This window comes from Homo sapiens, chromosome 18 (genome assembly GCF_000001405.40).
Source record: "Homo sapiens chromosome 18, GRCh38.p14 Primary Assembly".
Classification (NCBI taxonomy): domain Eukaryota; kingdom Metazoa; phylum Chordata; class Mammalia; order Primates; family Hominidae; genus Homo; species Homo sapiens.
In genome coordinates this window covers 59,828,774-59,850,271 of record NC_000018.10, presented here as the reverse complement: position 1 = coordinate 59,850,271, position 21,498 = coordinate 59,828,774, and the positions used below count along the sequence as shown (strand labels likewise).

Sequence of the window (21,498 nt, the reverse complement as noted above, 5' to 3'; positions counted from 1 at the left end):
ATGATCCCGTCTCACGGCAGCCTCTGCCTCCCAGGTTCAAGTGATTCTCATTCTTCAGCCTCCCAAGTAGCTGGGACTGCAGGAGCCTGCTGCCACGCCCAGCTAATTTTTGTATTTTTTGTAGAAACGGGGTTTCACCATGTTGGTCGGGCTGGTCTTGATCTCCTGACCTCACGTGATCCACCCGCCTTGGCCTCCCAAAGTGCTGGGATTATAGGCATGAGCCACCGTGCGCAGCCGCTTTAGGTTTTTTACAGAACTTCCTTGCATGATTCTTCTGAGAAGTGGGCAGAACAAGGTTTTCCCCCCTTTAAAGATGGAGGTTTTAATTTTGTTTTTGTTTGTATTTATTTTTATGCATTTATTTAGAGACAGGTTCTCACTTTTTTCACCTAGACTGCAGTGGTGTGATCATAGCTCACTACAGCCTCCAACTCCTGGGCTTGAGTGATCCTCCTGCCTCAGACTTCCAAGTAGCTGGGACCACAGTCCAATACCACCACGCTCGGCTAATTTCTTCTTCTTCTTCTTCTTCTTCTTCTTCCTCTTTTTTTTTTTTTTTTTTTTTTTTTTTTTTGATGTCCTCTCTGAGACACAAGTCAGCTAATTTTTTTTTTTTTCTTTTTTGAGATGGAGTCTCGCTCTGTGGCCCAGGCTGGAGTGCAGTGGCACGATCTCGGCTCACTGCAAGCTCTGCCTCTCGGGTTCACGCCATTCTCCTGCCTCAGCCTCCTGAGTAGCTGGGACTACTGGCGCCCGCCACCGCGCCCTGCTAATTTTTTTTTTCTTTTTTTTTTTGAGACAGAGTCTCGCTCTGTCACTCAGGCTGGAGTGCAGTGGCGCGACCTCGGCTCACTGAAAGCTCTGCCTCCCGGGTTCACGCCATTCTCCTGCCTCAGCCTCCCGAGTAGCTGGGACTACAGGCGCCCGCCACCATGCCCAGCTAATTTTTTTGTATTTTTAGTAGAGACGGGGTTTCACCGTGTTAGCCAGGATGGTCTCCATCTCCTCACCTTGTGATCCGCCCACCTCGGCCTCCCAAAGTGCTGGGATGACAGGCTTGAGACACCGCGCCCCGGCCCAAGCCAGCTAATTTTTAAAAAGACTTTTTGGCCGGGTGAGCTAGCTCACACCTGTAATCCCAGCACTTTGGCAGGCCAAGACAGGCCGATTACTTGAGCTCAGGAGTTTGAGACCAGCCTGGGAAACATGGTGAAAGCCCATCTCTACCCCCACCACCCCCCAAAAAAGAAAATTAGCCTGGCATGGTGGCCCGGCATTGTAGTCCCAGGTATTCGGGAGGCTGAGGTGGGAGGATGGCTTGAGCCCAGGAGTTCAAGGCTGCAGTGATCAGTGATTGTACCACTGTGCTGCAGCCTGGGTGACAGAGAGAAACTCTGTCTCAGAAAAAAAAAAAAGTTTTCTAGAAACAGGGTCTCCCTGTGTTGCCTAGGCTGGTCTCCCACTCCTGGTCTCATGTGATCCTCCGCCTTACCCTCCCATAGCATAGTGCCCACCTAAGATGGGGATATTGAAGCACAGAGGGCAGAGTGCTTTGCCCAAAGTTACAGGACTGGTCAGCAACTTAGGCACCTGGGTCCTATTAACTCATAGCTCAAGCTTCCTTCATGGCTATATATGCTTCTGGAATTGAACTAAAATCACAGAACTATGCATTCCAAAGTTTGCACTGAAGTATGGTATACTTAAAACATATTATGAAATCTTTTAGACCTCGTGCTGCACAGTGGACATTTGTAACCATGCCATCCAGCTGAACAATTAACCTTTTTAAGCTAGGTTTTAAGTTTCCTTCCCCCCACCATCCAGTCTCCTTCCCTTGCCTCCCCACAAGTCGCCACTTTCCTGGGTGAGGTATTTAATGTTTCAGCTGTGCTTTCTGCATGAAGACAATTGCCTTGGGCTTTGGTGTAAAGGATCTAAGGGGTAACAGATCTTCTGAGACGTGGTAACACCTGCTGCCCACCTGCCTCTCTCCTGAGTTGAGTGGGACCAGGGCCAGGTGGGGAGTGAAATGAGGCTTGCACAGAGGAAAGACCAGTTAGCCAACCAGTATCCTATGACGTCAGAGTTCATCAGGTGAGATAGCAAAGGGAAATTCCGCCTCCCTGAGTACTAAATTGGAGTCTCTTTAGCCCAACAGTTTTATGGTTTCCCAGAAAGCACGTGGAGCAGAGTGAAGTAAGTGAAATGTTTTCTAGGATCCCCCCACTTTTCCCTTTGTGTTCCCTTACCTTTGGACACCCTCCCTCACCCTAGTGTCAAGGCTCCATCTTGGAACCCAAATGGTCCTCAAGGGGACCCAATAAGAGCCCTAGCTGCCTGGGGTCTCCCTGTCCGCTCACACCAGGCTCCCTTTCCAGCAACCAGCCAGGCGTTGCTTGCTTTCTTGCTTTGCTTTCTCGCTTTGCTCTCTCACTTTCTCTCTTTCTTTCTGCTCACTCTGTTGCCCTGGCTGGAGTACAGTAGCATGATCTCGGCTCACTGCATCCTCCACCTCCTGGGTTCAAGCAATTCTCCTGCCTTGGCCTCCCAAGTAGCTGGGACTACAGGTGCCTGCCATGACACTTGGCTGATTTTTGTATTTTTAGTAGAGATGGGGTTTTCCCATGTGGGCCAGGCTAGTTTTGAACTTCTGGCCTCAAGTGATCCACCCATCTCGGCCTCCCAAAGTGCTGGGATTACAGGCTTGAGCCACCGCGCTGGCCCTCGCTTTCTGTTTTCTGTCCTACTGGACATTACCAGCTCAGACTTGTTCCAGCTGTGACTTCCAAAGCAATAATTTTGTAAACTAAACTGTGATGAACAGAAGGGATTAAGGAGATACCAGAAAAGGGGTATTTGTGGATTTGAACTGCAGTTTATGCTTTTGCTTTCCATGCCTTGCAGGATGTTTTGACCAGAGGGAATTTCCCTGCCCAGGGCAGAGAACAGCCCCAAGGCAGGGGCGGAGGCAGAGATCTTTGTATGTAAATAGTGCTTTCTGATCTAGGTCCACACTGGGAGGGGCGGTGACTCAGGCTTCACACTTAGGAACAGCCTCAAATTCGAATCCTTAATGTTCTCTCCAAATAAGATTAAATCATCCCCAAAGCTACTGAAAGATATTCTTCATACAGCTTCAAACCTATGTCTATTACCAGACTACACAGCCTATCAGGAACCATGGACCAATTGTTTTTGGTTTTTTTGTTTGTTTTTGTTTTGAGAAAGAGTCTTGCTCTGTTGCCCAGGCTGTAGTACAGTGGTGCAGTCTCAGCTCACTGCAACCTCTGCCTCCCGGGTTCAAGCGATTCTCCTGCCTCAGCCTCCCTAGTAGCTGGGATTACTGGGGCACATACCACGCCCGGCTAATTTTTGTATTTTTGGAAGAGACTGGGTTTCACCGTGTTGGCCAGGCTGGTCTCGAACTCCTGACCTCAAGTGATCCACCTGCCTCAGCTTCCCAAAGTGCTGGGATTACAGGCATGAGTCACTGCACCTGGCTTCTACTGTTTTTTGTTTTTAATTTTCTAGCAGTCATAATTTATTTTGTGAGTGTTTTTAAATTGTTGTATAAGAGATGTATGTTTATAGTTTATGTAATTAGTTTTTGATTATGAGTATTTTAGTATAATATATTGTATACTGTGCTTTTTTTTTGGCTTTTTTTTCTAAGAGTCTTGCTCTCTCACCCAGGCTGGAGTGCAGTGACGAGATCTCAGCTCACTGCAACCTCTGCCTCCCAAGTTCAAGCAATTCTCCTGCCTCAGCCTCTGGAGTAGCTGGGATTACAGGCGCCCACCACCACGCTCAGCTAATTTTTGTATTTTTAGTAGAGTCTGGGTTTCACCATGTATTTCTGTTTTAAAGGCTTTCATTTGTTAAATGTGAACATTTAAAATATATTGTGAGTTTGGAATTTATTTCTCAACTTTTTATTATTATTTTTAGAATATCTTAGAATTGTTCATTTGCTTTATCCAACAATGCACACACATCAGTCTCAGAATAACAATATTAAATACACTTACTCCAATATAATTACTGAAAACGTTAAAAAAAAACTTTTTTTGCATATGTTCTTACCATTCTTTCGCCATTTTAAGAGGTGCACATTGACAGATCATAAAACCATTATATACTGTACTCTCTTTTTTTTGAGACAGAGTCTTGCTCTGTCACCCAGGCTGGAGTGCAGTGGTGGGATCTCGGCTCACTGCAACCTCTGCCTCCTGGATTCAAGTCATTCTCCTGCCTCAGCCTGGGACTACAGGCATGTGCCATCATGCCCAGCTGATTTTTGTATTTTTAGTAGAGACGGGGTTTCACCGTGTTGACCAGGCTGGTCTTGAACGCCTGACCTCAGGTGATCCACCCACCTTGGCCTCCCAAAGTGCTGGGATTACAGGGGTGAGCCACCACACCCAGCCTACTGTACTCTCTTCTTTTGAAACCTCATATTATCCTTGTTCTACAATTCACTATATAGTTAATGCTCAATACCTATCCTTACATCGTCTCTATAGACATTTTAATTTTTCCCAACTTTTTATTTTGAAAAATTGAGAATCTCCAGAAGAGTTGAAAGATATTACAGTGAGGTTGGGCTCACACTTGTAATCCTAGCACTTTGGGAAGCTGAGGCAGGAGGATGGCTTGAGCCCAGGAGTTCAAGGCTGCAGTGAACTAGGGTTTGCCACTGCACCCCAGCCTGGCGACAGAGACCCTGTCTCTTAAAGAAAGAAAAAGAACGATAGTATAATGAATATATCCTTCACCAAATTTACCAATTGTTAACATTTTATAAATTTTCTTTATTTCTGTCTCTATTTCCATATATATGGAAACACACACACACACACACACACAATTTTTCTTGCTAAATAATAAAGTTGCAGAAATCATAGCACTTCACTCCAAAATACTACACCAAGCATTTCCAGAGAATAAGAACATTTTTCTAGTAATGAAAATTTTATCATGGCTGGTCGTGGTGGCTCACACCTGTAATCCCAGCACTTTGGGAGACTGAGGCGGGCGGATCACCTGAGGCCTGGAATTCAAGAACAGCCTGGCCAACATGGTGAAACCCCGTCTCTACTAAAAATTCAAAAATAGCTGGGTGTGGTGGTTCACACCTGTAATCCCAGCTATTCAGGAGGCTGAGGCAGGAGAATTGTTTGAACCCGGGGGGCAGAGGTTGCAGTGAGCTGAGATCATGCCACTGCACTCCAGCCTGGGCGACACACCAAGACTCCATCTAAAAAAAAAAAAAAAAATAGGCCGGGCGCAGTGGTTCAGACCTGTAGTCCCAGCACTTTGGGTGGCCGAGGTGGGCGGATCATGTGGTCAGGAGATCTAGACCATCCTGGCCAACATGGTGAAACCCCGTCTCTACCAAAATACAAAAAATTAGCTGGGCGTGGTGGCGGATGCCTGTAGTCCCAGCTACTCGGGAGGCTGAGGCAGGAGAATCGCTTGAACCCGGGAGGCGGAGGTTGCAGTGAGCCAAGATTGCGCCACTGCACTCCAGCCTGGCGACACAGCAAGACTCTGTCTCAAAAAAATAAAAATAAAAATAAATAAATAATAAATAAAAAATTAGTCGGGCATGGGGGCGCACACCTGTAATCCCAGCTACTCGGTGGCTGAGGCAGGAGAATCGCTTGAACCCAGGAAGCAGAAGTTACAGGGCGCCAAGATAGCACCACTGCACTCCAACCTGGGCGACAGAGCGAGACCCTGTCTCAGAAAGAACAAAACAAAACCAAAAAGGAAATGTTATCACAACTTTTAAAAATGGACATACAGTCTCTGTTGTCTGTTATACAGTCCATATTCAAGTGACCCTGGTTATCTTTATCTAAGACTCAACAAAAAATGTACACATTGCATTTGGTTGTTATGTCTCTTTAACCTCTTGTCACCAAAAACAGTTCTTCCCCACCTTGCTTTCTGTTTTGCTGAGCAATGACTCTTTTGAAGAGTCCAGGACAGCTCTTGTGCAGAGTGTTCCACATTCTGAGTCTGATTCCTCATGAATAAGTTCAGGACAAACCATTTTTTCAGCTAACATTCTTCACAGGTGACACTGTGCACTTTCTATTGCATCATATTGGGAGGCACAAGGTATCAGGTGACCCTACTGTTGGAGAGGCTATGATTATTTAGATAAGGCAGTTTCTTCAGAAATTTAGAAAAAAAAAATTTTTTTTTTTTGAGATGGAGTCTCACTCTGTCGCTCAGGCTGGAGTGCAGTGGTGCAATCTTGGCTCACTGCAACCTTCGCCTCCCGGGTTCATGCCATTCTCCTGCCTCAGCCTCCCGAGTAGCTGGGATTACAGGTGCCCATCACCACGCCCAGCTCAATTTTTTTTTTTTTTTGTAGTGTTAGTAGAGATGGAGTTTTAGCATCCCAGCCAGGCTGGTCTTGAACTCCTGACCTCATGATCCACCTGCCTCGGCCTCCCAAAGTGCTGGGATTACAGGTGTGAGCCACCGCACCCAGCCAGAAATCTTTAGATTTCTTTTCTATCAAGGTACATTTCCCCCACCCCTTGTGGTTAATAAATAATCTGTAGGGTGATTCCCTGAGGCTATATGAAAATCCTATTTTGAGCTGTCTTTCACTCAGTAGTTTTAGCATTCATGGATGCTTTTGGGGAATCAATTACTATGTCAAGGATTGCAAAATGGTGATTTATAATGAGAACTGTATCTCATTCCCTCTCCATTTACTAACTGCATTCTCCATCTTTCTCTTCTGTGTATTAGAGGGCTCACTGACTTTTTTTTTTTTTTTTTTTTTTTTTTTTGAGACAGGGCTTTACTCTTTCACCCAGGCTGGAGTGTAGTGGCTGATCACAGCCCACTGCAGCCTCGACTGCCTTGGGCTCAGGTGATCCTCCCACATCAGCCTCCCAAGTAACTGGGACTACAGGCATAAACCACCATACCCGGCTAATTTTTGTATTTTTTTGTAGAGGTGGTTTTGCCATGTTGACCAGGCTGATCTCTAACTCCTGGCCTCAAGTGATCCACCCACCTTGACTTCCCAAAATGCTGGGATTACAGGCATGAGTCACTGCACCTGGCCTGTTCAACAGACTTTCAATTTGTGAACAGTTTTACCCTTAAAGGAAAACTGGTAAGATACTACAGGCAGTGCCCATACCGCCCACATCTCATTTCCCTTAATATTAACACATTAGTATGACTCATTTGTTATAATTAATGAACCCATATTACTACATTATTGTTAACTGAAGTCCGCACTTTATTTTGATGTCCTCCGTTTTTCCCTAATGTCCTTTTTCTTTTCCAGGATGCCACCCTACATCTAGCCATTGCGTCTCCTCCCCTTGGTTGTGACAGTTTCTCAGACTTACCTTGTTTTTTGTTTGTTTGTTTTCGTCTTTTTTTTTTTTTTTTTTTTGAGACAGAGTCTCACTCGGTCATCCAGGCTGGAGTGCTGCAGTGGCACGATCTCGGCTCACTGCAACCTCCGCTCCCTGGATTCAAGCGATTCTCCTGCCTCAGCCTCCCGAGTAGCTGTGATTATAGACATCCACCGCCATGCCCAGCTAATTTTTTGTATTTTTAGTAGAGACTGGATTTCACCAAGTTGGCCAGGCTGGTCTTGAACTCCTGACCTCAAGTGATCCACCCACCTCAGCCTCCCAAAGTGCTGGGATTATAGGCATGAGCCACCATGCCTGGCCACACTTGCCTTGGTTTTGATGACCTTAACAGTATTGAAGAGTACTGTTCAGACATTTTTGTAAAATGTCCTTCAATTTCAATTTGTCTGATGTTCTTCCTCATGATTAGACTGGGGTAATGGGTTTTGGTGAGGACACCAGGGGGTAAAATGCCACTGGAATCACATCACCTCCAAGGCATATACTGCCAGCAAGTGAGGAGACCTGCCACAGCTTCTCAAGTATCTACATAAAGTGTTTCGAATTCATCTGCTGGGGGGGATTTGTCTCTTCTCCCCCATTTGTTTATCTATTCAATCATTTCCTTATGTAAGTATGGACTCATGTAATACTTGGGGTTATAATCCTATAGTAATGTCTTTACTGTGTTATTCAAATGGCTTGAGCTCCAGCCTGGGCAACATAGCGAAACTCTGTCTCTACAAAAAGCACAAAAGGCGGGGTGCAGTGGCTCACGCCCGTATTCCCAGCACTTTGAGAGGCCAAGGCGGGTGGATCATGAGGTCAGGAGTTTAAGACCAGCCTGGCATGGTGAAACCCCGTCCCTACTAAAAATACAAAAATTAGCTGGGCACGGTGGCACGTGCCTGTAATCCCAGCTACTCGGGAGGCTGAGGCAGGAGAATCGCTTGAGCCCAGGAGGCGGAGGTTACAGTGAGCCAAAATTGCGCCACTGCACTCCAGCCTGGGGGACAGAGCGAGACTCCATCTCAAAAAAAAAAAAAAAAAAAAAAGAAAGAAAAAAATACAAAAAGAAAATTAGCCAAGTGAGGTGGCCCACATGTGTAGTTCCAGCTACTTGGGAGGCTGAGGCAGGAGAATGGCTGGAGCCCAGGAGATGGAGGCTGCAGTGAGCTGTAATCGTGCTTCTGCACTCCAGCCTGGGCTATAGAGTAAGACCCTGTGTCAAAAAAAAAAAAAAAAAAAATCCCCAAAATCCCAAATTGCTCCAGCTTGGCCATTGGGAGCTTTTCAGCTGATTCCTGCGTCCCTCTGGCACAACCCTGTCATTGCAGTATTTTTGGTTAGTTTTTTCCTTTAAGTGTGTCCTTACTTTTTGGCACTACAAGATGCTCTAGGCTCTTTGTGTATGTTTTCTTTTTTGGGGGCGGGGGAGGGGGACAGAGTCACCATACCTGGCTAATTCTTTGTATTTTTCAGTAGAGACGGGGTTTCGTCATGTTGGCCAGGCGGGTCTCAAACTCCTGGCCTCAAGTGATCTGCCCACCTCGGTCTCCCAACGTGCTGGGATTACAGGCGTGAGCCACCGCACCTGGCCCCTTCATGTGTATTTTCTGCCCTGGCCCTAGAGTCAGCCAGTTCTTCAAGGACCTCTGTTTCCTTTTACTGGGGTACACTAGACAGAAACCAAGATCGGGGTGCTAGGTGTGCCTATTGCTCCTGGAATGTCATTACTTCTGGGCCATCTCCCCTGAAAAAGCAAAGAAACATATGTGTGTACGTGAACCTGAGCACACACACCCATCTTTAAGAATTTCTACGTGGAATCACTGTGTGTATATAAGCTAAACATGAGTTCACAGCATCTCCAACTCCAATCCAGGACCACACGGATCATTCTAGCCTCTCCTTGTTCATATGTAACCTCCTCCTCCAACAGGGTGGAACCTGGTTCCCACTATCTGCCATCTACTTACTTAACTGCTTGTTTATTTAAAAAAAAAAATTAAAATGTTAGTACCATCACTGCCGTGATTCTCTCTGATGCCCTAATTGTCCCAAATCTGGCCAGTGGGATCCCTTTCAACCTTTTCCTCTCCCACATCTCCATCAGTCTTCAACCACAGCTCACTGTTTTCTGGCATAAGCAGATATTCTAGAAATCAGCCATATCCTCAAAGATGCCTAATTTCTTTTTTCCCCTAATTCCTTTTAATAGGGAAGTTGTTGTGTTTAGAGAGTGAGAGCTAGGTGCCTAGTTTGCTAATTGCCACTGGGTTATTATTGCGTCTAGGCCATTTTAGTGGACAGAGCTCATTATATCTATATAATACATTTTTACTGATACTTCCAATCATACCCAAATCCAACACTGGGGGCAGAATTATGAAGTGTTTGAGAAAATCCATAGAGAAATGATGGACAGTTGTCTCATGGGATGGAGAATAGTTTATAGGAATACATTTTGTTTTTCCTTTTCCCCCCCTTTCCTTCCTTTTTTATTCTTTCATGAACTTCAGGCTCAGAATTGAGTTAATCCTTCTTTTCATTCATAGTTCGTTATCAGCACAAGGTATGCAATGCACGTTTGTTTATTTTTCTCCTTCATACCACACAGCCACTCAAGTGATTTTTTTATTACATAAATCAGATCATGCCACTCCTTCACTCTCAACCCTCCCACGCTTCCCATCACACTTGGAGCAAAACCCCAAATTCCTGCCATGGTCAACAAGACCTTGCAGAACCTTGCTCCTAGTTACCCTCCAACGTTTTCCTTCTCTCTCTCTCTCTCCTCTCCAGCCACTCTGGCCTCATTGTTCTTCAACTTACCAGAGATATTCCAGCCCTAAGGCCTGTACATGGAATATGCTTCCTCTGTCTCCAGGTAGCTCCCTCCCTTCTGCAACCAGACCTCTGTTCACATTCCCCCTACCCTACCCAAAGTAGCTCTCTCCATTGCCCTCTCTGCTCTTCTGTGTTTGATTCTTCTTCCTGGCCCTTGTCACTCCCCACCTTGTATTGGTCAACTGTTTTATTGTCTATATTCCACACGAGAATGTTAAGCAACACAATGGCAAGACTTAGATTTATTCCATTTATTCCCTGCTGTTTTCCCAGCCCCTAGAACCTGTGGCTGGTGCATAGAACAGGCTTCATCACTGCATGTGGAGCAAGTTCCCACTCGCATTCTCCTCTCCCCAGTTTAGCACCAATTCAAATAAGGTATGTTCTTATATATAAGCTTATAAAATGCTTAGTACTGTATTTATGATGTCAATGTAGATTTGTTTGGGAGGGCAGTTATCAGTTTGGGAAAATCTCATCCCTGCTTAGTTGTGGTTTAAGTGCCACTCACTAAGAAGTGAAGGTGGGAGTTGGGCTCCACCTCTGCTGGGTTAATAATTAAGAAGTTTGTTTTGTCGGAAGAGAGGGAAAGAAAGCAGGAGAGTGTGACTAGAGGTGTTGGGGGACTTAGTGTCAAAGAGAATTTTTTTGGCTGGGCATGGTGACTCACACCTGTAATCCCAGCACTTAGCAGGCCTAGGTGGGAGGATCACTTAAGGCCGGGAGTTGGAGGCCCACCTGGGGAACATAGAGAGACCCCTGTCTCCACAAGAAAAAAAAAAAATTAAGAGTGTTTTTTTCTTTATTGGATGTGTTCATCTGATCCAAGTCTCTGGAAAGGAAGCTAGGGGAAACACTTTTTATTCAGTGCCTTTTGGGAGGAGGAATGAAGGAGGCAGTGTATCCATCCTCAGGTAGACAGGAGATGCAGTCAAGACATCTTAATGGAGAAAGGGCTCTGCTGAACACAGTAGCTTAGCAGCCTTGTAAGGACACACCTACTAGTTTAAAAAACTGGAATCTACTTTTTTATTTTTTTCAAGATAGGGTCTGGATCTGTTGCCCAGGCTGGAGTGCAGTGGCGCCATCTTGGCTCGCTGCAACCTCCACCTTTCTGCTTCAGGCAAGTCTCCAGACTCAGCCTCCTGAGTAGCTGGGATTACAGGCACCCATCACCATGTCCTGCTAAGTTTTGTATTTTTTTATTTTATTTTATTATTATTATACTTTAAGTTTTAGGGTACATGTGCACAATGTGCAGGTTAGTTACGTATGTATACATGTGCCATGTTGGTGTGCTGCACCCATTAAGTCGTCATTTAGCATTAGGTATATCTCCTAATGCTATCCCTCCCCTCTCCCCCCACCCCACAACAGTCCCCGGAGTGTGATGTTCCCCTTCCTGTGTCCATGTGTTCTCGTTGTTCAATTCCCACCTATGAGTGGGAACATGCGGTGTTTGGTTTTTTGTCCTTGCAATAGTTTGCTGAGAAGTTTTGTATTTTTTGTAGAGATGGAGTTTTGCCATGTTGGCCATGCTGGTCTCAAACCCCTGGGCTCAAGCATTCTGCCTGCCTTGCTCTCCCAAAGTGCTGGCATGAGCCATTGCACCCGGCCTACATTTTCTTATTATAGTAGATTGTCTTTTTACACTGAGTTTCTGTCTCTTAGGTGGCAAATTGCGATTAACTAAAATATTACTTTGGACTTGATGTAGAAACAATATGCTATCTGCAACGTACTTAATTTTTTTTTTTTTTTTTTTTTTTTTTGAGATGGAGTCTCACTCTGTGGGCCAGGCTGGAGTGCAATGGCACAATCTCGGCTCACTGCAATCTCCACCTCCTGGATTCAAGCAATTCTCCCGCCTCAGCCTCCCAACTAGCTGGGATTACAGGTGCCCACCACCACGCCCGGCTAATTTTTGTATTTTTAGGAGAGACGGGGTTTCACTATGTTGGCCAGGATGGTCTCGAACTCCTGACCTCAAGTGATCCTCCCACCTCAGCCTCCGAAAGCTCTGGGATTAACAGGCATGACCCATCGTGTCCTACCTGTTTTGAGAAATTTTTGAGGTTATTAGAACATCTCTAAAGATTACCCAGATACTATAAATCTAGACAGAGATATTCCTGCTTATCATTCTAAACCACATCTCAAAGCAGGACAACCATAGTAATGTGCTAATTGTGATCCGTGGGCTCTAACGCTCGTCCTCCATTAGGCCTGTTGTCCCAGCCTGATTATTAACAGCGCCTCCCTGTTAATTGAGTGGCTCAATTTAGGATTATGTTTCTGCAGCCTCATCGCCCTCTAGTGGCAAAATAGTGTCAGTAGCCAAAGTGGAGAAAAGGCTTTTGTGCAATACACCTAGGAACCGAAAAGTACCCCCTTCATAGTATAAAACTAGAGCTGCAAAAGAGATATCCAGTCTCCTAAGCACCTGGCGGACATGATGAGATCACTCAACTCATCGGAACAAAACAAGATGGGACCCTCACAAATAGTGAGGTTTTTTCGATTGGTTTTTGTTTTTATTTTTACTTATTGGCATAATTTAAAATATTATCAAAACCAGGCCTGGCGCTGTGGCTCACGCCTGTAATCCCAGCACTTTGGGAGGCCGAGGCGGGCGGATCACGAGGTCAGGAGTTCAAGACCAGCCTGGCCAACATGGTAAAACCCCGTCTCTACTAAAAATACCAAAAAATAGCCAGGCGTGGTGGCGGGCGCCTGTAGTCCCAGCAACTTTGGAGGCTGAGACCTGAGAACGTCGTGAACCCGGGAGGCGGAGCTTGCAGTGAGCCAAGATGGCGCCACTGCACTCCAGCCTAGGCGACAGAGTGAGACTCCGTCTCAAAAAAAAAAAAATTAATAAAAATAAATAAAATAAAAATTACCTAAACCCAAGAGAGTCATATTAAAAATGAGCACACAAGCATGATTACTGGTAGAACAAAGAGGAATAACTTTTCAGGAGGACACTTTGCCATTCGGTTTCAAAAGGTGATATGTTAGTACTGTTGACGGCGTAATCCCACCATTGGGAGTTTATGTGAAGAATGTGTTTATCAAGAAACAAAACATATAAGTAGGAGAGTATTCAGAGTTTAAAGGATAAGAATTTGAAAACAACCAATGTTCCCAAATAAAGAACTGATTAAATAAATACGGCTCATCCATACAATGGAATATTACAGAGCTATATTAATTGACCATTAATAAATTGTTGAGTAAAAATAGAAGATAATGGAATTGTATGAATATTATAATTCCACTTACACAAATGAGGGTCTGTGTGTGCTTATGTAGATATGTATATATGTATACACACACAGGAAGACATTTGAAAGAATGGACGTTAGAATGTTCACAGTGGCTACCCCTAGATGATTGAATCACAAGTAATTTTTATCTTCTTTTCATATTTTTTGAATAAATAATTATTCCTTTTATTTTATTTTAGAGAATCTTGCTCTGTTGCCTGGGCTGGAGTGTAGTGGCACAATTTCGGCTCACTGCAAGCTCTACCTCCCGGGTCCAAGCAATTCTCCTGCCTCAGCCTCCTAACTAGCTGGGATTACAGATGCATGCCACCACGACCGGCTAATTTTTGTATTTTTAGTAGCGACGTGTTGGCCAGGCTGGTCTCGAACTCCTGACCTCTAGTGATCCGCCCGCCTCGGCGTCCTAGAGTGCTGGGATTACAGGCGTGAGCCACCATGTCCGGCCCCCAGCTGTATTTTATTTACAATCTAAATCTGCAGCTAGTGAAAAAGAACCTAAAGAGGTAGTGAGAAGGGTCTGTGTGTCAGAGATCTCTAGGGACGCTTCAAAAATAACTCACTATTTAGGGACAAGCTGTGCCCTGACTTGAGGCCCACTGCCTGTCACAGTTTCAACCTTCAGATCTTTGGAGCCAAAAAGCACCTTACAAATCATCATTCATTTGTAACATGAGTTACTGAACACCCTTGGAATTCCCTTGTGCTAAGAACTGAGGATACAGAAGGAAATAAAACTAACAGGACCCAATCCCTGTGGAGCTGACGGCCTTGAGGAGAGTGGAGATAGCAAATAGGTGTCAGGTGTCACCCCTTCCCCGCATTCTGCTCCCTGAAGCCCGTGCCCATGGAAGGCAGATCACTGTGCATCTCTCTGCATGGTACTTCCAAGCAGCTACTACTAGCAATCTGAGTGGCATAAATAAGGCTAATCCAATCCACCCTACATTTTACAGCTCAAGAAATTGAAAGCAAAAACATAAGTGATTACCGCTCTAAGGAATGTGTTAAGAGGTGAACTAGATAAAATAGTCTAGGATAAGGCTATGTTTTCAGACGGTTTTCTGTATAACTGTGGGTTATTTTCAAGATCCCTCTTACCTCTGGTTTTGGACCTAAGATACAATTTTTTAAAATAAAGAATGAGATCATTTCACAAGGATTCTATAGTAAACTCAAGTTTGCAGCCTCTGAAATGATATTCCCTGGAAGAGACTTGATAACAAAATAGAATAGAGGTAAAGTATTAAAACAAACAAACAAACAAAAACCTCAATGCCCTTTCAAAAGAGAGCAAAATGATTTTACTCAAATTGGCTGCATTTGACCTGTGAAATTACTAATATGGTATCTTCTTTTTCATTTTAATAAAATTTTATTTTATTTTAAATCAGGTTTAACATTTACATTCAATAACATATTTAATAAACTTCACTTTTTAATGTGTACAGCTCCGTGAATTTTGACAAATAGTCATATAGGTGTCACCAGAATCAAGGTATCAGATATGGAAATATTCAATATTGCCACCACTCCAAAAAAGTTTCCTCATGTCCCCTTTCAGCACCAGGATACAACATTTTGGCGGTGAACTGAAATTCCAGTTAAACTGTCCCACCTGGTAAACCCAGCGTTGCATCTGGGAAAATGCCATATGCCAAAACGAAATGAGAACAAGCCAACCAGCTTGTTTTTGCCTCCTCTATCCCCCACCCAAATCCCTGTTGATCTTCTCAAGTGTCTCATTGGTCTAAATGATTTGAGCAGGTTACTATTGTTCCTTTTGCTTTGCAAATTTACTTTTAATTTAAATGAAGATTAGATTGAGTTACAATGAGATTGTAAAAGATATTCTAATTCTAAAACAATACAACATTATTGACTAAGGGAGAAAAAAATAACAGCTTGTTCCTAAATTACATCAGGATGCTAGATTTTGCTTAATTCTTGATGTGAAAAGACAGGCAGGGAGACTAGTGCTGGGTTGGGGAGGGGGGTGACAGGCAGTGCCAGCCAGACACCCACTGCCTTTCCAAGAATTCTGGGTACCGGTGATGCCCCCAGAAACTCCAAGAAAATATCATATTGAATCAAACTGAATATGGGAAGACACAAACGTATTTTAACAAATACCATCACCCGGTGTAACATTTCCACTGCAGTCACATGGGTGAAGATGCAAATTTTTCTGAAATTTTCATTTCTTTAATGATTGTTCATTTTAGAATGCTGTCATTAGTTGCCAGGGTTCTTTGTAACACTAAATACTGTTCTCTTTCACTTTTATGAAAAGACCAATTTGATCTTTCATTTGAGGATGATGAAGTTTGAGATGCTTTGTGGTAACTATTCAAAACAGTCTCTCACTGTTCTGACTCTGTGTGTCTGGTGACTAGTGAGCACAGATTGGGGGGCGGGAGCTGCTGGTCTAGACCACCTGCATCTTTTATTTAAATTAACAGGCCACCTAGAAGTGGTTCATCCTGACTGATCAAGGATAATCACTTAAATCAAGTGATTTAAGTGAAAATCAAGATAGTTAATATTACCTGAGTCCTTTTATGGACTTTTCTAAAATGCAAAACGTCACAATGCAAACAAACAAACAAACAAAATACAAAACCATCAGAGTGATTTGATAGCAAATATCAGAAGACCCAACTGAAAATGTGTTAAGCAAGAGGAGTTTATCATCTCAGGTAAAGACTCCATGGGTAGTCAAGTCCTGGCTGGGTTAATTCGGCAGCTGAGGCTCTGTCATCTTTTCACTCTGCCTCTGTGGGTAGAAGGGGAATCCCTCATAATTTCAAGGTGTCAGTCACAGTTTCACACACCCAACAAGCCGGGGCAGAAAAGCAGTATTCTTGCCCCCACCCAGATTCTATTTTTTGTGATAGAAAAGAAACTTTTCCAACTTCAGCATGTGTATGGGAAGTGGCTCTATTATAAGAAGGAAGGGAATGGCTGCCTGGTAGAGACACAGGACTTTACACTAGAGATTTCACAGACATTTCCACTAGAGCCCAGTGAGGAGCTACGATGGCCCTCCTTTGCAAGTTTGGAAACAGAAGCTCCCAGCATTCCAGTGACGTGCTCCAGACAACGTTAGAGTTAAGAATTAAACTTGGATCCATCTGGTTCTAAGTTTCAGGATCTCATTCAATACACTAAAGTCTGGTTTCCAAAACAAAGTAAAAGACAATACGATAAATAAAGTAAAATTGTAATAGGCCTACACCCAATGTGAGAATGAACAGGTAACCTTCTTGCCTGCAAATGCTTAGAATGCCTCCGCTAATAATCAGTCTTTGAGTTAAGGAATTGTCTCCGAGATACCACTATAAAAAATAGAAATATGCGGGAGATTTAGAATTAAGAAAAAGAGAAAGGAAAAAGATTACAAATATGTATTTATTTGCATGCTCTAACATCTTAACATATGTATTTATTTGCACAATCTAACATCTTAACATATGTATTTATTTGCATACTCTAACATCTTACCATAGGTATTAATTTGCATGCTCTAACATCTTAACATATGTATTTATTTGCATGCTCTAACATCTTAACATATGTATTTATTTGTATGCTCTGACATCTTAACATGTATTTATTTGCATGCTCTAACATCTTACCATATGTATTTATTTGCATGCTCTAACATCTTAACATATGTATTTATTTGTATGCTTTAACATCTTAACATATGTATTTATTTGCATGCTCTAACATCTTAACATATGTATTTATTTGCATGCTCTAACATCTTAACATATGTATTTATTTGCATGCTCTAACATCTTAACATATGTATTTATTTGCATGCTCTAACATCTTAACATACATATTTATTTGTATGCTCTGACATCTTAACATATGTATTTATTTGCATGCTCTAACATCTTAACTGGGATTCAAATATGTGTCTGGTATTTTGGTGGAGAGCACAGGATAGGTTCATTCGACAGGTGAAGCCAGAGGAAATTTGAGGTAAACTTGGTATTGGGGGCAGTGACCCTGATGGGATAGAGAGAGAGAGCAGGGGACACCCAGAGACTGGGATGGGATCGGGGAGAGACCACATGCATGGGCAACCCTGTGAAGGGTGGGGCCCAGAGGCCCTGGCTGACCTGCCTACTTCTCCAGCCACCTCTTTGATCTTCTCCTACCTTCCCCACCTTGCCTATATATTGAACTCTACCACAGGATACTTGGTTCCCTGGAGGCCAAGTTGCTCAAATTATTCCACTGACATCCCCTTATCCAGAGGGGGGTGAAATCACACTCTAAAATTTGGAAAAGCCATGCAAAGTTATCTTTAAAATTTTTCAAAAACTTATGCTTGATTTCAAAAATGACTGCAATTTTGCATTGTACTGCAACATATAGCTCAGTCACACACTGTTGGATATAATTGACTGGTTGGACCTAGGTGTTACCTGAATTGAGAACTGTGATTGTATTTGCAGAAATGACCCAATTTCAAGACCTCAAGACCCCTGCTCCCCCGCGTCTGTCTTTTTTTCTTTTCCAGGGCTTTATTGTCCTATGTTCATCTAGGAACCCGCAGGGGTCTCATGTGTACCCTGATTCTCATTCTCCAAGCTTGTGGATCCTTTCAGTTTGTCCCTTTGATAGTTTGTCCCTAAGTTCACTGAATATACAACCTCGCAGGGAAGACTGTTCAAACAGCATCCTTTTCTCTTGTTTTTCTTCAGGAGCCAGAAAGGCATGGGGGTGACTCCCCTGAATTGTATCCGTGGCCAGCAGCTCAGTTAGCCCTGTGTTCTGCCACCTGGGCTCACTGTGGTGGCCTTGGGCTGCTTTCTGCTCTGCTGACCCATCCTCTCTGGCCTGAGGGAAAGGTCTCTCCTTTCTCTTTCAGCTCTCTCATACAGGAGGCTCCTAGGTTACATCTTTCATACCCTAGAGCAGACAGACTCTCCTGGGCCTAGGTGGGATGGAGGCAGGGGTGTCCATGGGAGGGACAAGCACACCCCACATTGTCTGGAATCGCTGTCCCTGACTTAACCGCCCTCCTGCTGAGTTTGACCTTCTCCACCAGATCTGCTCACTTAGTGCCTTTTCTTTCCTCCTTCTCCTCCTCCTCCTCCTTCTTCTTCTCTCTTTTTTTTTTTTTTTTTTTTTTTGAGACAGAGACTCACTCTGTCACCCAGGTTGGAGTTCAGTGGCACAATCTCAGCTCACTGCAATGTCTGCCTCCTGGGTTCAAGTGATTCTCCTGCCTCAGCCTCCTGAGTAGTTGGGATTACAGGTGCATGCCACCACACCCAGCTCATTTTTGTATTTTAAGTAGAGAGAGCCCGCCTCAGCCTCCCAAAGTGCTGGGATTACAGGCATGAGCCACTGCACCCAGCCTCTTCTTTTTTCTTTAATCCTAAGGCTCCATTGTCCTCCACAGCCTGTCACTGGGTCTCTCAGCCTTTCAGATATGTTTCTAATGAACTCCAATTGTGAACAGGGTTCAGATTCTTTCCCATGGGGTTCCTGGATCCCATTCAAATCCAAGCCCCATTCAGAAAGTGTCACCCAGAATGTAAAGACAAAGCTAGATTTTTGGAGGGGAGCTGGGAGGCACAAATGAATCTTAGCTCTGACCTTACTGAGACACTTTACTTATTCTTTGTTTAAAATTACTCACTAACGAGTAAAGTTGCAGGTTCAAAAGATGTCCCACATTTCCTCCTTAAATTACCCCTGGGGACAGAGGTGCTTCACTTTGAGAAGTGAACAGCACTGGGAGGGTCTCCTCACCAAGGTGCCTGGGTCAGTGTCTGTCTGCCTGAACTTTCCTTCCTCCCTGTCTTTCTCTGGCCAATAGCTTCTTCCTTCAAGATTGGCCTGGCCGCCATCCAATCTAGAAAGCCTTTCCTGGCCATGCTTAACTCCTATGCTCAGCCTCAGTTAGATGCACCTTTTGCAGTGCTCTGGGCACACCAGGGCGTGCCTGCCATCACCAGGTTGTCATGATCTGTCCCCTTGTCTCCGGCCTCCATTTAATCCTCTGAGCATTGTTGATGTTTGCGTCTTTTATCTCTGTTCCAATAAGTGCTCAACAGAATTACAAAATAACAATTGGGTGGATGGATGAATGCATGGGTTTCTGCATGAAAAAATAAATGGATAATAATAATAAAGTAAATTTCACAGATTGTGAAGGATTACATTTGATTTCTAACATGAACTTGCTTTGAGCTGAACTCATAACTAAAAGAACCAGTAGGTCGGGTGCAGTGGCTAATGCCTATAATCCCAACACTTTGGGAGGCCAAGGCAGGTGGATGACCTGAGATCAGGAGTTCAAGACCGGCCTGACCAACACAGTGAAACCCTCATCTCTACTAAAAATACAAAGATTAGCCCAGCGTGGTGGTGTAGGCCTGTAGTCCCAGCTACTCGGGAGGCTGAGGTGGAGGATTGCTTGAACCCGGAAGGTGGAGGTTGCAGTAAGCCAAGATCACACCACTGCACTCCAGCCTGGGCAACAAAGTAATACTCTGTCTCAAAAAAATAAAAATAAAAATAAATAAAACATCCAGTAAAGACTGGGATATTTTTGATAACCAGTAAAACATGGCTTTCTCTTATTAAAACATATGAAATATTATATACGTTAATGTAGTATTAACAGGTCCCCACATTTCTATCCTTTTCATGATATATAGGGTTTCCATTCACGTGGGATTTACAGGGCCTACTAAAAACTCAGGTTGCATGTTAGCCACTCACTCTCAAGGGAAGACTCCCCCAGGAGCCCCAGTTCCACTTTCCCCCCAATATGGCTTGGCTGTGTCCCACTCAAATATCATCTTGAATTTCCATATGTTGGTGGGACCTGGTGGGAGGTAATTGAATCATGGGAGCAGGTCTTTCCTGTGCTGTTCTCATGATAGTGAATAAGTCTCACGATATCTGATGGATTTATAAGGGGGAGTTGCCATGCACAAGCTCTCTTTGCCTGCTGCCATCCAGGTAAGATGTGACTTGCTCCTCCTAGCCTTCCACCATGATTATGAGGCTTCCCCAGTCACATGGAACTGTGAGTTCTCCATTAAACCTCTTTCCATTGTAAATTGCCCAGTCTCAGGTATGTGTTTATCAGCAGTGTGAAAATGAACTAGTACTCCCCCTCATCCCTTATCCCTGTGCTGAGTAAGGAAGGAGTGACTGTCACATGAAAAGCTTAACTTGAGACAGTGAGGAGTTGCTCATATGCATGAGAGCAAACACTCTAAACACCAGTGGGAGAAAACGTTAAGTTGGCCACCAAAACAAGAACTAGAATCCCTGATTTTCGTATGATAGTAGTAAAAACCAGCACTTTATATCATGCTCACTACATGCCAGGCACTGTTCTAAGCATCTTACCTACACTGTATAGTCTTTGAACAACTCTTTGAGGTACGTACTATTGTTATGTCCCTATGATATGGATGAGGGAACCCAGAGGGAAAATTTAAGAAGCCTGCCCAAGGTCACACAGGCATCTGTCTGCTCCAGGGTTTGGACTCTGAACCAGAATCCTTTAGAATGAAGGCCATGGGATGAGAGATGTTGTCAGTGTGGCTGATAATCTCATCTCTGAGGCAAAGCTCTTTATGCTGCAGTATAAAAACTCAGGAGAGCCTGGGCACGGTGGCTAATGCCTGTAATCCCAGCACTTTGGGAGGCCAAGACGGGTGGATCACCTGAGGTCAGGAGTTCAAGACCAGCCTGGTCAACATAGTGAAACCCCATCTCTACTAAAAATACAAAAATTAGCCAAGGGTGGTGGTGCATGCCTGTAATCCCAGCTACTTGGGAAGCTGAGGCACGAGAATTGCATGAACCCAGGAGGCAGAGGTTGCTGTGAGCTGAGATCACGTCACTGCACTCCAGCCTGGGAAAAACTCAGGAGAAAAAAAAAACTTTTTCTAGATGGTTTGCACTTAGTTTAT

General features: G+C 44.1%; 4 annotated features.

Annotated features, from left to right (window-relative positions):
* Nucleotides 1,961-2,878: an enhancer, noted in NCBI's record as "H3K27ac hESC enhancer chr18:57514626-57515543 (GRCh37/hg19 assembly coordinates)". NCBI's record gives its function as "activates a minimal SCP1, AML or CMV promoter by ChIP-STARR-seq in naive H9 embryonic stem cells {active_cell/tissue: H9 hESC(naive)}" and the evidence as "EXISTENCE:reporter gene assay evidence [ECO:0000049][PMID:30033119]".
* Nucleotides 2,537-2,716: an enhancer, noted in NCBI's record as "active region_13418". NCBI's record gives its function as "activates an Ori minimal core promoter by ATAC-STARR-seq in GM12878 lymphoblastoid cells {active_cell/tissue: GM12878}" and the evidence as "EXISTENCE:reporter gene assay evidence [ECO:0000049][PMID:35858748]".
* Nucleotides 2,797-2,876: an enhancer, noted in NCBI's record as "active region_13417". NCBI's record gives its function as "activates an Ori minimal core promoter by ATAC-STARR-seq in GM12878 lymphoblastoid cells {active_cell/tissue: GM12878}" and the evidence as "EXISTENCE:reporter gene assay evidence [ECO:0000049][PMID:35858748]".
* Nucleotides 2,841-3,135: a silencer, noted in NCBI's record as "tiled region #9182; K562 Repressive non-DNase unmatched - State 9:DNaseU". NCBI's record gives its function as "represses a minimal TATA promoter and a strong SV40 promoter by Sharpr-MPRA in K562 cells {active_cell/tissue: K562}" and the evidence as "EXISTENCE:reporter gene assay evidence [ECO:0000049][PMID:27701403]".